The sequence below is a fragment of the Homo sapiens genome, chromosome 7 (genome assembly GCF_000001405.40).
Source record: "Homo sapiens chromosome 7, GRCh38.p14 Primary Assembly".
NCBI classification, from domain to species: Eukaryota; Metazoa; Chordata; class Mammalia; order Primates; family Hominidae; genus Homo; species Homo sapiens.
In genome coordinates, this window is record NC_000007.14 from 55,176,191 (window position 1) to 55,193,993 (window position 17,803).

The 17,803-nt window shown below is 49.7% G+C and overlaps 1 protein-coding gene and 1 long non-coding RNA gene across 9 annotated transcripts in view, besides 4 other annotated features; one reads left to right on the forward strand and one right to left on the reverse strand.

Annotated features, from left to right (window-relative positions):
- The window catches only part of EGFR (epidermal growth factor receptor), a 192,612-nt gene that overhangs the window by 157,174 nt on the left and 17,635 nt on the right, over nucleotides 1-17,803 (forward strand). For all 8 annotated transcript variants that reach the window (NM_005228.5, NM_001346899.2, NM_001346941.2 and 5 more), the window contains 3 exons: nucleotides 5,103-5,288; nucleotides 15,529-15,684; nucleotides 16,576-16,651. In NM_005228.5, the coding sequence (NP_005219.2) occupies nucleotides 5,103-5,288; nucleotides 15,529-15,684; nucleotides 16,576-16,651 (418 nt within the window). The remainder of the gene's footprint in view (nucleotides 1-5,102; nucleotides 5,289-15,528; nucleotides 15,685-16,575; nucleotides 16,652-17,803) is intronic.
- On the reverse strand, nucleotides 3,560-12,759 carry EGFR-AS1 (EGFR antisense RNA 1). Its single transcript, NR_047551.1, has 2 exons — nucleotides 12,667-12,759; nucleotides 3,560-6,287 (listed from the first exon to the last, which is right to left on the reverse strand). It is a non-coding gene; the product is annotated as an EGFR antisense RNA 1 (long non-coding RNA).
- Nucleotides 5,010-5,629: an enhancer, noted in NCBI's record as "H3K4me1 hESC enhancer chr7:55248893-55249512 (GRCh37/hg19 assembly coordinates)". NCBI's record gives its function as "activates a minimal SCP1, AML or CMV promoter by ChIP-STARR-seq in primed H9 embryonic stem cells {active_cell/tissue: H9 hESC(primed)}" and the evidence as "EXISTENCE:reporter gene assay evidence [ECO:0000049][PMID:30033119]".
- Nucleotides 5,630-6,249: an enhancer, noted in NCBI's record as "H3K27ac-H3K4me1 hESC enhancer chr7:55249513-55250132 (GRCh37/hg19 assembly coordinates)". NCBI's record gives its function as "activates a minimal SCP1, AML or CMV promoter by ChIP-STARR-seq in primed H9 embryonic stem cells {active_cell/tissue: H9 hESC(primed)}" and the evidence as "EXISTENCE:reporter gene assay evidence [ECO:0000049][PMID:30033119]".
- Nucleotides 9,411-10,184: an enhancer, noted in NCBI's record as "H3K27ac-H3K4me1 hESC enhancer chr7:55253294-55254067 (GRCh37/hg19 assembly coordinates)". NCBI's record gives its function as "activates a minimal SCP1, AML or CMV promoter by ChIP-STARR-seq in naive H9 embryonic stem cells {active_cell/tissue: H9 hESC(naive)}" and the evidence as "EXISTENCE:reporter gene assay evidence [ECO:0000049][PMID:30033119]".
- Nucleotides 15,894-16,779: an enhancer, noted in NCBI's record as "NANOG-H3K27ac-H3K4me1 hESC enhancer chr7:55259777-55260662 (GRCh37/hg19 assembly coordinates)". NCBI's record gives its function as "activates a minimal SCP1, AML or CMV promoter by ChIP-STARR-seq in naive H9 embryonic stem cells {active_cell/tissue: H9 hESC(naive)}" and the evidence as "EXISTENCE:reporter gene assay evidence [ECO:0000049][PMID:30033119]".

Here is a 17,803-nt window from a genome sequence, read left to right on the forward strand (position 1 = left end):
CTAATAAATTATACAAAATCATGTTGAAATGTGAATTTCAGTGGTATTTATAAATGCAGTGTGAGGAGGGTTTGGATGTATTCTAAGACAATAGTTGTGCTTTGGGAAGGAAGCAGTGTTCACTGAAAAGTGCCCCCAGGACCTTTTAATTGGAGGAAATATGCTTCTGTGGAGTTGGAAATGGGGTAGAAGATAGATAAGGTCAAGGCTTAAAAGTTAAGTGCACCCAACATCTGAAGCGTCCATGGGCCTGGCATGGTGGCTTTCGCCTGTAATCCCAGCACTTTGGGAGGCTGAGGCAGGAGGATCCCTTGAGCTTAGGAGTTTGAGACCAGCCTGGGCAACATACTGAGACCCAGTCTCTACAAAAAATAAAAAATTAGCTGGGTGTGGTGTCTCATGCCTGTAGTCCCAGCCACTCAGGAGATGGGAAGATGGCTTGAGTCCAGGAGATCTAGGCTGCAGTGAGCTAAAATCTCACCACTGCACTCCAGCCTGGGTGACAAAGCAAGACCCTGCTCAAAAAAATAGTTAGATATAAATATTAATATAGATACCTATATATATCTGAATATAGATATCTATATATACTCTGTATATAGTTATTTAGATATATAAATATATATGATATATATTTAGAGAGATATATATTTAGAGAGATATATATTTAGAGATTTATATATATTTTATATATATTTAGAGATATATATCTCTAAATATATATCTCTCTCTAAATATATATATATCTCTCTCTAAATATATATATATCCCTAAATATATTAAATAAATAAAAGAAATAAAAGAAAGCTCAGTTTGGCCTCCTGCTTGTCCTGTCTCCTCATCCCCTCTTCCCCCTCCATCATTTTATTTCCTTGCCCCATGTTTCTTCACTGCGGCCATGTCCCCCCTCCTCTCCAATGATGGATGTCATGTCTGCTGCAGTCAGAGGGCGACAAGCCTGGAGTGTTCCCTGAAGCCTGTGGTTTGTGGTTTGTCCTGCAGCTCAGGCTGCCCAGGCCTCACCAGCAATCCTGGCGGGCAGGGCACCACACTGGGATGGAGAGGGGGAAGCTGGAGGAGGCACTTTCTGGTAAAGAAAGCAAAAGCCAGCAGTGCCCAGGCCAATTTCAACAGGGAGTTAAATAGCACCTTAATCCTGTGGCAGGACAGCTCATGGGGCCATGTGTGCTCTTAGAAAGACTCACATGCACGCATGCACGGCAGCAATGACTCCATACTCACGTTCCCCTGCAGACACCAGGCCCCCACAGCCGGCACACACACTGCAGCCCCAGTTCCATGTTGCTAGCAGTGGCTTAGTGAATGAGTAAAGTTCTTAAAATGCAGGGGACACCTGCCCTTCATTCATAAGGCTGGACGTACACCTCTCCTTAAGGAGTTCAAGAGCTAGTGGAATCCCAATTCATACGGTAGAGCCATTCACAGATGAGAGAGACAAGCCAGAAGGAAGGAACCAAAAGTCATGTCAGCAGTTAGGACAAAATAACAGGCTTTCAAGGTCACAAAGCCTCAGGGACACTCCTGCGGTGGGACTGGGCTAGGAGCCATGGGGGCTCCAACTGTGCGCTCTGCCTGCCAGCCTGTGGGTGCTGGGGCTCCACGAAGATTGTTGTGGAATACCAAGCATGCTTGCTGTAGGTCACGGTGCACGTTTACTACTTCCAAGACAAACAGCCGAGAACAAAGCTCGCTTTAGCTTCTGCGTACACCGAACGGGACACACGACTGAACAGCGTTCCCATTGTGCCTGCTGGGTGGGGAGGAAGTGATGGCCCAGTGGGTCTATCAGATGTTAGTAGGATGGGGCCTGGCGGGGCTCCAGGCTCTGTGTGGCCGACACCCACGCCCCCCGCTCTGCTCCCCATTCCCAGCCCCAGGTCAGCCCTGCGAGGCCCTGCAGCAGATGGGCTGCTCAAACTGCTCTGGTTTGCAGATTTTTCTTCCCTCTCAAATGAATACAATATGTTTTCAAGTCTCAACCAGATCTTGAGAAAATAGGAAGAGCCAGAGGGTTTCTTTGGTGTTATGGTTGTACAGCTTCCCAGACTCCGGGGGAGAGATGTGATTTGTGCTTTCTGGCAATCCCATGGCGTATTAAATTTTCATAGGCTTTCCAGTTTAAATTTAGGGTAGGCAATGGAAGGGAACGCAAAACAGATTTCTAGGTGTACTGTGTGTGTGTCTCCCACGTCTAAAGTCTGTTAACTGGAGCACCCAACAGGCCCCACAGGCTGCCTTCACACAGAGGACCTGGGGCGCCTCCGACCCATTGGGGTGAGCAGTGGGCCATGGAGGGAGCCAGGGTCAGGAGACCTGGTTGTGGGCCTGACCTGACCCTGCTCAGGGTGGCCTCAGGTGGGCCGTTCACCTCGTCAGCCTCAGCTTACCCTCTGACTACAGTGACCTCAGACAAAATACGCTTCCTGGCCCTGTCCAGTTCTGACTTTTTATAAACAAGCACTTATCCAAGTTAAAGGGATATTTTCAATATCTACTGAGTCCACAGATATTAAATATCTCCTCTCTTCTTTAAAATTGTGGCATTATCTTTAGAATATAAAAGGAAAATAACACACACTCTCCTTGAAAATAGAGAGCCTAAACACTCTGCAGGAAATATTTAAAGCTATAGTTTTTGTTTGTTTGTCTTGAATGCAAGTGGCCTGGACTTTGACTTGCTTTGAGTCTTTGACCTTCATGACTTCAGTACAGTTCAACCCTGACAGTTTTGAAGTAGGTATGTGCCTAGATCTGCCCTAGTCCCTGCTGGAATGTTGAAGAAGCAAAGGTCCAGGCCCTCAGAGCACTTGCCACGTACTTGCCAACAGATACGGGGCGGAGACTTGAGTCAACGTAAGAGCAAGTGTGTGCCGGGTGATCCGACACTGCAGAGCGCCAGCTAGACCCTAAGCGTGTGCTAGGGGCTGACCAAGCCGTTCTTTCCTCAAAAACTTGGTGGGGAGGGTATTTTTAAAATCACACAAATATTTAAGTACAGATTATGATGACTGCCTCAAAGCAGTGGCTCTTCAGCTTCATCAAGCTTCAGAGTCCAGAGGGTTTGTTCATATGGAAGGCTAGGCCTGTCTCCTGCATTTCACCCTCTTGGCCTGGGGGCGGGACCCAAGAATGTGTGGCTCTAAAAGGTTCCCAGGCAATGCTGAGGCTGCTTTCTGAAGGAAAAACTGCAAGATACCAGGAGAGTTTCATTTAGATTGAAGAGTCGAGGAAGGCTCCTCTGAGAAAGAGTCTGCTAAGGAAGGAGGAGGTGGGTTCTGGGGACAGAGGTTCTCCCGTGGGTAAGGGTGGAGGGAAGCTCTCCTGGGGAGAAGGTGGGCAGGAGGACCAGAGGCTGGAGGGAGGAGGGCAGTCAGCCTCGGGGCTTCCCAGGAACAGGGACGGCCAGGGCAGGGTTTAGGGCAAGGAAAGCGTGTGAGCATATTTGTATTTTAGTAAATATTTACAGTTTGCCCTCCATGTCTGCAGTTTCATATCCATGGATTCAATCAACCACAATGAAAAACGTTGGGGAAAAAAATTGCATCGGTACTGAACATATACGGACTTTTTTTCTTGTCATTATTCCCTAAACAATACAGCATAACAATTATTCACATAGCATTTGCACTGTATTAGGTACTATAGGTAATCAGGAGATGCTGTAGATGGGAGGATGTCTGTAGGTTACACACAAATGCTGTGCCACTTTATATCAGGGGCTTGAGCATCCTCACATTTTGATATTTAAGGGAGGTCCTGGAACCAATTCCCCAGATACTGAGGGTCCACTGTCTGTGTCCCCTCGCCCCACCTTGCCTTTGTCTCCTGTCTCCTATCTCCACCCTGCCTCCCGCCAGCCTGTTGCTCCTGACCTGCCCGGGCACCCTGGAGCAGCACCCTATCTCAGAGCCTGGCTCAGTGTGTTCACTTCTGCAGAGAAACTAACTTGCCCAAGTCCACACTCAAAACATAGGCATTGCTGAGATGTGAAAAGCAGCTGTGGATGCTTTCTGCTACAGTCTGTGTGTTCTTTTCCATATCTGAATAAAAGGTCACCACCATTTGTATTTTAAAGAGAAAGAGAATTTATGGGTGGAAATTGGGGATTCCCTCATTCTCAGTCAGACAGAAAAGAGGGCCCCATTGTGTGCCTGATTGCAAATAAATTTAGCTTCCTCAGCCCAAGAATAGCAGAAGGGTTAAAATAAAGTCTGTATTTATGGCTCTGTCAAAGGAAGGCCCCTGCCTTGGCAGCCAGCCGGAATTAGCAGGGCAGCAGATGCCTGACTCAGTGCAGCATGGATTTCCCATAGGGAGCCTGGGGGCACAGCACAGAGAGACCACTTCTCTTTAGAAATGGGTCCCGGGCAGCCAGGCAGCCTTTAGTCACTGTAGATTGAATGCTCTGTCCATTTCAAAACCTGGGACTGGTCTATTGAAAGAGCTTATCCAGCTACTCTTTGCAGAGGTGCTGTGGGCAGGGTCCCCAGCCCAAATGCCCACCCATTTCCCAGAGCACAGTCAGGGCCAAGCCTGGCCTGTGGGGAAGGGAGGCCTTTCTCCCTGCTGGCTCGGTGCTCCCCGGATGCCTTCTCCATCGCTTGTCCTCTGCAGCACCCACAGCCAGCGTTCCTGATGTGCAGGGTCAGTCATTACCCAGGGTGTTCCGGACCCCACACAGATTCCTACAGGCCCTCATGATATTTTAAAACACAGCATCCTCAACCTTGAGGCGGAGGTCTTCATAACAAAGATACTATCAGTTCCCAAACTCAGAGATCAGGTGACTCCGACTCCTCCTTTATCCAATGTGCTCCTCATGGCCACTGTTGCCTGGGCCTCTCTGTCATGGGGAATCCCCAGATGCACCCAGGAGGGGCCCTCTCCCACTGCATCTGTCACTTCACAGCCCTGCGTAAACGTCCCTGTGCTAGGTCTTTTGCAGGCACAGCTTTTCCTCCATGAGTACGTATTTTGAAACTCAAGATCGCATTCATGCGTCTTCACCTGGAAGGGGTCCATGTGCCCCTCCTTCTGGCCACCATGCGAAGCCACACTGACGTGCCTCTCCCTCCCTCCAGGAAGCCTACGTGATGGCCAGCGTGGACAACCCCCACGTGTGCCGCCTGCTGGGCATCTGCCTCACCTCCACCGTGCAGCTCATCACGCAGCTCATGCCCTTCGGCTGCCTCCTGGACTATGTCCGGGAACACAAAGACAATATTGGCTCCCAGTACCTGCTCAACTGGTGTGTGCAGATCGCAAAGGTAATCAGGGAAGGGAGATACGGGGAGGGGAGATAAGGAGCCAGGATCCTCACATGCGGTCTGCGCTCCTGGGATAGCAAGAGTTTGCCATGGGGATATGTGTGTGCGTGCATGCAGCACACACACATTCCTTTATTTTGGATTCAATCAAGTTGATCTTCTTGTGCACAAATCAGTGCCTGTCCCATCTGCATGTGGAAACTCTCATCAATCAGCTACCTTTGAAGAATTTTCTCTTTATTGAGTGCTCAGTGTGGTCTGATGTCTCTGTTCTTATTTCTCTGGAATTCTTTGTGAATACTGTGGTGATTTGTAGTGGAGAAGGAATATTGCTTCCCCCATTCAGGACTTGATAACAAGGTAAGCAAGCCAGGCCAAGGCCAGGAGGACCCAGGTGATAGTGGTGGAGTGGAGCAGGTGCCTTGCAGGAGGCCCAGTGAGGAGGTGCAAGGAGCTGACAGAGGGCGCAGCTGCTGCTGCTATGTGGCTGGGGCCTTGGCTAAGTGTCCCCCTTTCCACAGGCTCGCTCCAGAGCCAGGGCGGGGCTGAGAGAGCAGAGTGGTCAGGTAGCCCTGCCTGGGTGCTGGAGACAGGCACAGAACAACAAGCCAGGTATTTCACAGCTGGTGCGGACCCAGAAAGACTTCTGCTTTTGCCCCAAACCCCTCCCATCTCCATCCCAGTCTTGCATCAGTTATTTGCACTCAACTTGCTAAGTCCTATTTTTTTCTAACAATGGGTATACATTTCATCCCATTGACTTTAAAGGATTTGCAGGCAGGCCCTGTCTCTGAGAATACGCCGTTGCCCGTCATCTCTCTCCGACAGCAGGGCAGGGGGTCCAGAGATGTGCCAGGGACCAGAGGGAGGGAGCAGACACCCACCCGGCCTGGGCAGGTCCTCCTCATTGCTTGCATCCGCCTGGTTAGCAGTGGCAGTCAGTCCTGCCGAGTCATTCGTGAGGCGCTCACCCAACTCCAGGCAGATGTAAAAGGTGACCTACAAGAAGACAAACAAAAACATCTGGAGCGCTCTTATGCCAGCATCTGCCCTTGACACCACCAGGCAGGCTGTTGCTGGGAGCCGTGGTGCTTGGGTAAGCTCCTTCCCATGGCAGAGCTCCTGGGACGCATTGTAGAAGCAGGGACCACCTCCCAGGATAACCAGATAGCAGCACACCCTGCACAGCCCCTTTTACTCCAGCATCATCGGGCATTGATATCTCAGCTGCAGCCACAGGCGGCCCCCAGCACCCCAGGAAGTGGGGAGCGCTCATGCTTCTCTGAGCACAAAAATCACTGAATATTTTTGCCATTCTCATGGTCATAACCCGGGCCACAGAGTAGAACACTCCTATCACTGTTGTTAGACAGTGGTCCTGGGAGAGGGTCTTGTGTGCCTCGGATGCCAGGGCCTCTTTTTATTGGGAGGTGCTTGTTATTTCTGTGTGTGGCTGCATTTGTTTCCCAAGACTGCCACAACAAATCATCACCAACTTGGTAGCTCAACATAGCACAGCTTTATTCCCTCCTGGCTCTGGAGGCCAGGTGTCTAAAAGGCCATGCTCCCACAATGGTTCTGAGGAGGATCCTTCCTGCCTCTCTGGCTTCTGGTGGCTCCAGCATCCCTGGGCTGTGGCTGCACCTCCCCATGTCAACCTCCGTCTTCACAAGGCCTTTTCCTGTGTCTCTGCAACCACAGGCCCCTCTCCTTTCTCTTAATAAAGATACCAGTCATTGAGTTTGAAAATTGCTAAGAGAGTCTGTTGTAAATCTTCTTAGCACAAAAAAAAATGACAGATATGTGAAGTGGTAGATATATTAATTAGTTTGATTTGATCACTCCGCTATGTGTATAAATGTCAAAACAAACATTGCACTCCATAAATATATATATTAAAAAAGATCCCAGTCATTGCATTTAGGACCCACCCTAAATCCAGGATGATTTCATTTCAAGACTTTTAACTAGATTTGCAAAACCCCATTTCCAAATAAGGTCACATTCTGCAGTTTTGGGTAGACGTGAAATGTGGAGACACTGTGCAACCCACTGTCTTGGGGAGGGGGTGGTCAGCCTGGGGCAGATGTTGCTGGGTGTGGAGCTACATCCACTCATGCCCTGACCTGGAACCCAGACCTGCTTCCCCAGCTCTCCTCCTGGTTATCTGAAGCAGGGAATGGAGAGCACTGCCCTCCTTGCCCAGGCAGTCTCTATCACCTGGTTTTAGTTTCTTCTTAGCACATATTGCCCCAGAATATCTGGTTGGTTTATGGCTTACTTGAGTTTGTGCCTACCTGTCCCAACCGGGAGGTGAGCCCTGGCTATTCCCCAAACCCGGCCCTGCATGTGGGAGCTGCCCTTCCTCCGTTCATCAGAGGGGGCCAACAGTCCACAGCTGTTCTTAATCATCTCCCAGTAACCCCCAGCTCCACAAAGGTGACTCCTTACATGGTGGAGAGGTGGTCGGGCCATCCGTGTGAAATGTGTATGTGACCGTTTTCCTTAAGGGGCACGTAGTCTTGGCAGGTTTCGCTCAATATAGGATGAGCTCAGGACTCCAGTGGACTGTGGATTCAGATCTGGATTCTGGCGCATTCGCCGTGTGAACGGGGGCACGTTGCTGGCCTGTCTGCGCCTCGTCTCCCGACTGTGGAGTGTGTTCTGCCCCTTGTCTTTCTGGGAGGTAGGGAGGGCAGTGAGCCCCTTCGCATCGCCCACCACAGGCCCAGCACATGGCTGATCCCCACTGAGTGTTCTTTTCCTCCTTTGATCCCCTTTGGCTGACCTAGGTTGGAGCAGCCACTAAAATATACCCAGAAACATCTTCCTAATCTACATCTGTGCCAACCCTCATTCCCTGGCGCAGCATGACCATCACATGCCCGCCATTGTTCCTGATCTCTGCTGCTCATGACCTGCTCTCCAGCGCTCCTTCTCATGCTCACATTCCAGTTGGCCTGACCTAGATAAGTGGAGGTTTATTTGACCCCAAAAATTAGCCTTCTACAAACGAATATAATAGTGTCCATTACAGAGAATAAACTTAGTGCGTGTCCCATTTAAGCAGAAGTTACTGAAAGCCTGAGTTTAAGTTTCCAGGGCCTGAAAGTTTTCCATGACAGTTTTCTGCATAATATTACCTACAATTTCAATCTGTTATTTAAAGCCATTCTTGTGTTTGTTGTACTTTGATTAGCTTTATTTTGATTTGAAGTCCTTTTACATTACGGGCAGTTAACGCTTTGTCTCTGTTAGATTTGCTTTTTAGTTCACAAGAGAAACCTCATTCCTCTGTATTTGAATAGTTGCAATGATGGAACAGCTGTCCCTGGAGGGAAATGAAAACAGTGATTCCCCAAATTGTGACAATAGAAATTTGCTCTTGGGTTACTTACAATGTATCTGAGTATTAAAAAATTTTCTTTTTAAACGTTTGAAGTAAAACTACCCAGAAACACTTAGTGGCTGACCAGAAACTAAACTCCTGGCATCCTCAAAATGGGATTTATTGGCTTATAAATGTCCTGTGTTGACTCACAAAGGCACAAACTATCTAGGTAAGTTTTCTTCTAAATGTTGATGGGAGAGCTGGCCACTGTTATGCAAGTTTCATTGTCCTGACTAAACTGCCAAAGAGATTACATAAAATTATATCAACTAGACAAAAGGAAAAAGGAAAAAAAACAGAGGTGTCTTGGGAGGAATCCATATGAGACCAGTAGACCATGAGAGAGACATCCCTTGCCATCTACAAGGAAAATGGATTTTGTTCTCCATATGCAAAACCATCTCAGGAGCTTGCGGAGACACCACTTGCTTACTAGCCAGAAAGAGCAGGTGCCTCCTAAATTCCCCACACAGGAGCTCACAGTGGCTTTCATGCACTGGGATTAAGTTAGACTTAAGAAAGCCTGTCTACTCTTCCTGGGATTTACAAGCCAGCTAGTAAATCCCAGAATAAATCACACGGCACAGTCATCCAAAGATCCCGTCATCCGTGCCGTTTGGAAAGCCCTGCTCCTGTGCCACCCTCTCCCCGTGGAGCCTCCCATGCCCAGGACTGCAGAGTCCTGCCATTCAGACTGCAACTCATCTCACATTCTTCCAAACTATTTGGACAACAGAGCTTTCTCATCACCTAATGCAGATTACAGTCTCACAGAATTGAGTGTTCAGGCAGACACTGATGTGGTTCTGTAGTACAGCAAACAATATCAGTTTACAGTCCTGAGGCCAGGCCTGGTGAACAACGCACGGTAGCGGTGGGGCAGGGTTCTCAGAATGAAACTGGCTTACACATGGCACTCTCTGACCACAACTGTATAAGCACCAAACTACACTTAGTTCCATCTATGAGGTAAAATTTAATGCAGATGAACATCAAAGAAAACGTCAAAGGCTCCTTTTTACAAGTACGTGGGCTACTTAATTTGGTCCAAGTCCATTTTAAAAAGCCCTAGGTGCTTTCACGGCTCTGCTACTGACAAGAAGCCCCAGTGCCTGTGAGCTGCTAATGGGAGGGAGAGGAAGATGAGCTGAGTGGGCCGGGCTATCCCGTCCACACCGGGAGACAGGGAAGGAGACTCCAAGCTGGTGGTGCCAGCACATTCCAGGCCACTCAGGCCTATTCCTAGGTGCCAGGTCACGAAAACCACGCTGACAGATCGTGCTGTGTGCGTGTCATAGCACACAAGCAGGACTGTGAGAGAGTGAAAGTGACACTGGGTGGAGCACTGAGGAAGGGCCACAGTGTGTTGGTGGAGATAGGCTGTCATGGAGAAGAGACCCTGGCTTGCTCTACATTGCTTCCAATGCAACTGCAAGGCAGGTCCCAGAGGGCTCCGGCCTTCGTCATCCAGGTTTGCTCCCTCCCCTCATGGCTTTCCCATCCTCAGATGAGGACTCGGCAGAGCCTACCCCTGCTGACTAACTGTGGCCCCAGGGTGGTGACTCAGCCCTGCACCTCCTGATCCCGTCTGCACTGGGCCAGAGAGGATGACTTACCCAGCACGTTCACATCACACAGCTTTGTGGATTCCTAGGTCCAAGGACCAGAGATTTCAGTTATGTGAGTTATTTTTTTTATTTGTTCTTGCGTATTCCACAAAGGGTCGCAGCTAAACTTAACCTAATGATCACTTTAGTATATCACTAAAAAGACAAAGCTCACAGTGCTGTTGAAGCACATTCATCATCTTTAGACATTTTGACTAGTTATTTCTTAAGCATTTACCTGCTAGTGTTAAGCATCACATGAAATACATATAGAAGTAAGACAAAATTTCTTATCTCCCCAAGTTTGCCAACAAATACAGAGCAGGAAGGGAAGCAGGTCAGAGCAGGAGGCGCAGCTATAGTGAGGCCACCATGCAAGGCACAGGGAGGGTGAGCTCCAAGTTTGAATGGAATGGGTCTGTCAGCCAAGCCCCCTGGCTCTGGGAAGATAGCAGTGAACAAGCCAGATGGCCCCTCACCCTCCAGAGCCGTGAGTCCTGCAGACCAAACAGCGTGACAGGTCCTTTCCCTGTCCAGGAGGCCTCTGTGGGTGAGAGTTGGCTGCGGACAGGGCGTGAAGGCACTTGAGGGTGGGGAAGTGACTCTGACTGGGAGATGCTGAGGACAGGGAGGAAACCACCAGATAAGGGACACTGGGGAGGAGGGGTGGACCCCTCAGGGCCAAGCACATGGAGCCTCATCACAAAGGCAAGATGGTGGCCAAATTCAAGGTCGCTGCAAAAGGAATGGAGAAGAGAGAATAGATTTGGCATTTGGAGGAAATGGTGACAATCATGAGCACCTACCCGGGACTCTCCATGGGTGCTATCTCTACATAAACTCATTCCACCCTCTGATTAATCCATTCTACATATGGGGAAACAAAGGCATGCGGTGTTTACGTCACTTGCCAAGATCTCAGGATTTGATCCAGGTGGCCTGGTTCCATGGTGCAGCCTCTCAGCCTGCATGGATGCCCCAGCTCAGAGCATGACTCTCAGGACAGGGGTCCCAGCAGCCCTCCCTCCCTGAGCAGCAGGGTGCCCGTGCTGCACCACTTCTGTCTAGGAATAGGACATTCTGACACTTTCCTGCCTCTTCCGAGGTCTAGCACTTACTCTATGCCTGCCTGGGAAGGTGGCAAGCTGGCCTGAGGAACAGACTCTTCCATTTTTTAGGGAGCTCAAGGCCACAGATGCTCTGAGATCTGGAGTCCAGAGACAGGAGCGGAGGCTTCTCCTGGTGACCACTCTGCTTAAAAACTTCATCAGATCCGTAGTTTCAGAGCCCCCCTGAACCCCATCCCTTACCTCTACCAGTTGCAGGTGGGTCTCTGGGGTGGGGCTGCCCTCCCCACCAGCACCCCAAGGGCTAAAAGGTTGAGGGGAGAACACCATCATTTGTACAGGGGGATCCTGGAAGATGAGGCCTGAGAAAGCCCTGCGGGGCCCCTCACCTTCTCCCTAGCTGTGGCCAAGAGTGTCTGGCCTTGCCTGCCTCAGGACCAGCCCAAAGTGGAGGTGAGAGGTGAGCCCCAGCCCCCAGGGGAAGGGTGATGGTGGTCTTGGTCTCAGCATGGTTCTGGTAGAGGTGGGTTATTTTGAAGATGATGAACCTTAAGCCTCTTTCTGATCTTGCTTTAAATAAATACTTCTGAACAACAGCAACAACAGAATAGTGTTGATAGGAAAGCCCTCCACTCCACCAGAACCACGCGGCCTTCTCGTCCTCCCCTCCTCCACTTCCTTCCTAAGTCACTGCTCCATGAGCTCTTCCACAGGAGATTTACAAAATAGAACACAAACAATCCAGTTCCCGCCTCTCACTCTGAACTCCTCCCAAGACTCGTGGGGTGCGGCAGCCCCTGGGAACACCCAGCCCTTCAAGGTCAAACACAGCCCCCGCCCCTCACTCTGGGGTACCCTGCCAGAATAAGCCCCGACAGCCATGTGGAGCAGAGCCTTCTTTTTTGTAAGTGGAAGTTCCAGGCTGGCTTTTCAAATCCCCTTTTAACCTCAGTGCTGTATTTCAAAATTCATTCCAGTTTTCCTGTAGTAATTAACAAAAATAAATATTTTAATTTCAATTAAAGTGAGGGTCTCGGAGAAGAAGCAGGAACTGAGTTTCCTGAGAGGCCCCGCTGAGGCTTTGTTGATATTTCTTCCTGCGACCTCTGCTCGGACCCTGGGAGCTCACAGGCCGTATCGCAGCTCTTATCTTTGGGGACCAGTTAAAGCATAACTGCGCCAGGCACAGAGTTGTCCTTTCAAATGTGCCGGCAGTGGGACGGAGACCCATGCGTCAAGTCTCCTCTAAGTTCACATGGGATTCTCTCCTTGTCCCAAAGCTGTCTCTGACTTAAAACCCTCCAACTGATTACCTGAATTCCAGAATATGTCCTGTGCTCTCTGCCCTTTCCCACGCCTTTGGTGAAGACCGGTGTTCTGAGGAAACAGACACTGTGTAGAAATGGCTCAGGTCCTTTAAAGCCCTGGTGTGAGGAGTGGGGAAGGGCTGGGCCAGAGGTCAGCTGGATTTGTTAGATTGACAGAGTGACGCGGACTTCCCCAGAGGCACGGGACCAAGGTGCATGCTCACGCTGTCTCATGCTCTCACACATAATGTGTGTGTGTGTGTGTGTGTATATATATATACACATATACATATATATATATACACACATATGCATATATATAAAACCCCAAGCAGCCTCTGGCTTAGCAGGTGCATTTCCCAGCAGGGCAATTAAAGCCATGGTCCCAGTAGTGGTCTTGGGGTCTCAGGGTATTTGGTCTGTGCAGCCACATGCTTCAGTCTCTGGACCCCAGGTCATCTAACGAGGTGGTCGTGTGGGGACTGGGATAGAAAAGGTGTCTGCACGGACGTGTGTGAAAGGGCTGGCACATCGCCAGTGCTCAGCACTGTCAGCTGCTATCACCAGTCATTCAATCATTCATTCATTCAGTTGTTCATTCTTCAACAGGCCGTTTTAAAAATGTGCCCAGTATACCAAAATCTCCGCTAAGCATTTAAAGAGGCAGAATGAAAGTTAGCAGTGGTGGTGAAACGAAGCTGGGAATGTGCTCTGAGGGCCTCCTTGTGGGCTTAATGAATATGTAGAAACCACGCATTTTAAATAGAGAGGGAGAAAGGGAGAGGTTCCTGGTCCTCTGCATGGGGACTTGTGTGTGGCTCTTTACTGTAGGCCTGTGCCACTCCTGCTCAACAGCTACCACAGAGGACGCCTTCAACAAATGTGAAGAACGAACAAAAGGTACAAATGTGAAGAACGAACAGGGTAGAAAGAAAGGAGAAAGCAAGGGTGAGGGTGAGAAATCAAGGGACAGAGAAGAGAGAAGAGGAGATAGCCTGGGAGTTCACACAGCCAAGAAGGTAGACACTCAGTTGAACCAGCAAGAGGCTGAGCCTAACTCTCCCTTTCGAATGGGCAGGAGTTCATGATATTTAATAAACAGAGGCCTTGCTCTGTAAGAGACAGGGTACCAGGCAGAGAGCAAGTCAGCATCGCAGGAGTCAAACGAGGCAGACAGCGGGGGCAGGGAGCTTGCCTCTGAAGGAGACCCAGGCTGCCAGAGTAGCAGGGAGTCTGGGCCAGTCCTCTTTTGGGAAGCGCTTCCTCGGCTTCTGCCCCCCCTCTCCTCTCCCTTTCCACCCACCATCCTGACATAATACTTCCTAATCTGGAAGTGTTGTCCAGAGAAGAACCTGCTCATTTCCTCTTAAGTAGGCAGGGAAGCACTAACGTCCAGCAGCATCGGAAACCCGTAGGAGCGCTCTCGGCAGTGCAGGGTGAGGGGACAGTCCATGTAGTCATGAGACGTGGGTGTCAGGCAAGCGTCTCTTTTCCAAAAGAGAAAAACATTAAAGGCCTCACAAACGGCGCCCAAAGACTAATTCTGCATAGCATCTTTGCGAGACCCTAGGTTCTTATGATGACTGGTTTTGCCTGAGAAAGAAAAAATTTTAATTTTGCTCTGACATGCCAATTCAACAAATCATTTTCACATAATATTCATGCAAAAAAAAAACAATTTGCCAGAAAACTTGGGAATCCATCCACATCTACAGCTTTTCCCTGCAGTCACACTACAGTGGGATCCCTCCATACAGGAGCGGCAGAGTGGAGCAGGCTAGAGATGCCTGTTTGTTTCTGTTTGCTGCACCGCAGCAAGCATTTCTGTCGTGCCCACTCTGTACTAGAAAGTACATGAACATCAGCCATAAAGGGAACTAGAAAGGTGGCCCACCCTCTTGGTGGAGAGAGAAGAGAGTGTGGTAGAAACAATAATAAGAAGTCTGCAGAACTTGACCCCTCCCAGCCTCTCCCACCTGCCAGCCTGGCCCTTGCAGAGAGATGCAGGCTGCCATTCTTAGGCCAAAGCCTGGGACAGTTGGGCTCAGCAAGGTAGGCATCCGTCAAGCAAGGAGGAGCAGGGGTCAGCAGTGACCCCAGCAGCCAGCAGGGAGAAAGGTGCATGTGACAAGGACACCAGAGGCCGTGGGTCAGGATCAGCCAGGGTCAGGGTAGCATTTCTAGGAATTCACTCTGTTGGGCGCTGTGCTGGCTGCTTCTCACATATTATTCCTTTCTTACTCTCAGAGCAGAGATTTCAATTGCAGCGAGATTGTGGAGGCAGCCAGGGAGGTGGGGAGGGTGGTGTCTTCTAAAAGCATTTTCAGTATCCATGTGGTTTCAGTAATAATAATAATAATAAACCAGTGAAAAGTAAAACAGGACAAAAATCTTCATAGGCAGTGAACCATATCAGAGAGTCCAAGAAAGCACAATGAGAGTGTGGCTTAAAAACCCTGAACGACATTCCTTTGCACCAGCTTGGTGAGGAGGGCATGGTCCCCGCCACCCCCCACCCCCACTTTGCAGATAAACCACATGCAGGAAGGTCAGCCTGGCAAGTCCAGTAAGTTCAAGCCCAGGTCTCAACTGGGCAGCAGAGCTCCTGCTCTTCTTTGTCCTCATATACGAGCACCTCTGGACTTAAAACTTGAGGAACTGGATGGAGAAAAGTTAATGGTCAGCAGCGGGTTACATCTTCTTTCATGCGCCTTTCCATTCTTTGGATCAGTAGTCACTAACGTTCGCCAGCCATAAGTCCTCGACGTGGAGAGGCTCAGAGCCTGGCATGAACATGACCCTGAATTCGGATGCAGAGCTTCTTCCCATGATGATCTGTCCCTCACAGCAGGGTCTTCTCTGTTTCAGGGCATGAACTACTTGGAGGACCGTCGCTTGGTGCACCGCGACCTGGCAGCCAGGAACGTACTGGTGAAAACACCGCAGCATGTCAAGATCACAGATTTTGGGCTGGCCAAACTGCTGGGTGCGGAAGAGAAAGAATACCATGCAGAAGGAGGCAAAGTAAGGAGGTGGCTTTAGGTCAGCCAGCATTTTCCTGACACCAGGGACCAGGCTGCCTTCCCACTAGCTGTATTGTTTAACACATGCAGGGGAGGATGCTCTCCAGACATTCTGGGTGAGCTCGCAGCAGCTGCTGCTGGCAGCTGGGTCCAGCCAGGGTCTCCTGGTAGTGTGAGCCAGAGCTGCTTTGGGAACAGTACTTGCTGGGACAGTGAATGAGGATGTTATCCCCAGGTGATCATTAGCAAATGTTAGGTTTCAGTCTCTCCCTGCAGGATATATAAGTCCCCTTCAATAGCGCAATTGGGAAAGGTCACAGCTGCCTTGGTGGTCCACTGCTGTCAAGGACACCTAAGGAACAGGAAAGGCCCCATGCGGACCCGAGCTCCCAGGGCTGTCTGTGGCTCGTGGCTGGGACAGGCAGCAATGGAGTCCTTCTCTCCCTTCACTGGCTCGGTTTCTCTTAGGGACCCTCACAGCACTAAGGGGTGCGCGTCCCCTGTCAGGCCCTCGAATGCCCTCCCACAGCCAGGCCCCTCTGAGGTTTCACTCTGGCCTGCTTGGCTCCTAGCAGCCACCAACCCATGATGCTGGGCCCTGAAAACACACGCAGACCTGGATGAGTGAGGCCACTGGGCACAACCAGGGCTCCCAGCTCACCAGAGCAGCCTGGGACACAGAGGGTGCTCAGAAACCTACCAGAGCAGCCCTGAACTCCGTCAGACTGAAATCCCCTGTTGCCGGGAGGAGGCGCCGGGCCTGGGGGACGGGTCCTGGGGTGATCTGGCTCGTCTGTGTGTGTCACTCGTAATTAGGTCCAGAGTGAGTTAACTTTTTCCAACAGAGGGAAACTAATAGTTGTCTCACTGCCTCATCTCTCACCATCCCAAGGTGCCTATCAAGTGGATGGCATTGGAATCAATTTTACACAGAATCTATACCCACCAGAGTGATGTCTGGAGCTACGGTGAGTCATAATCCTGATGCTAATGAGTTTGTACTGAGGCCAAGCTGGCTTTTATTGTTAGTTAATTTACATTATATCCTCTGACATGCAAGTATTTTCTTTCGAGATAATGACTAATGATAATGTAATCATTGCTGTCTATCTATTGTACTGAGAAAACACGGCAGAGGAAATCGAGTCCAGCTGCCGTCCAAAAGTCACTGGAGATTGCAATGAGCTCGTCTGGCAGGGTGGGGGGTATGGGAGGGAAAGAGCTTAGGAAACGGCTCTCCCTGCAAAGTCCAACCAAACTTTAACGTTAACCAAACCATTAATGTTGCCATGAATTTGAAGTGAACCAGAGGGAGGTGGCAGAAGAAGCTTAATGGGGAATAGTTCCGGTAGAGAAATGAGGCTTAAGATGAACTACCCTGGCCCTTATGTGTCAGAGAGAACGGCTTGACAAACACACACTGAGGATGTCTGCAGGGATAAAAGAAGAAAGGGAGATGACCCTTGCTTCTCGCTCTCGGGAGGACCATCTGGTCCGGCCCTGGGGATTCTCTGTTTCCTCTTCTGAATCCCAGTGTTGCCCAGCACTGGCCTGTACCCATCCTCACGAGGGCCGCTCTCCTCACCCGGCCCTAGGTCCCTGCCCTGTCCTGAGCCTACAGGGGCCTCCCATGTTGAGAAAGTGTTGCTGACACATTGTCTCTGACCGCTGTGCCAGGCATTTTCTGCTGAATTACCGCACTTGGTCCTTGAATTTCACCCAGCAACTTACTGAAAGGCTGGAACCCATGAACCTACCCCTTCACTGAGGAAAATAAGTTACCCCAGCCATCTACAGCGACAGGAGCAAGGGAGGAGTCGCCTCACCTCTCTAGAAATGTGTATTTGAGGAGAACACTATTGAAATGAATTTCCAAGAATAATCTAGTCAGTATTACAAAAGCAAAATTATTTGGGATATCGTCCTTTTTTACTTAGTATTTTTTCTTTTTCCTATAGCATTATTAACTTTCTGATTTTCCAAATACATACACATTTTTAAATTTCCTGAGTCTTTATCTCTTCTGTTAAAATGTAAGATTTATGATACAAAGGCAGAGATTTGTGTCCATGAATAAGTGAAGTTTGGTGTGCACCTGTGAGCTGAGCCACCTCAATTAA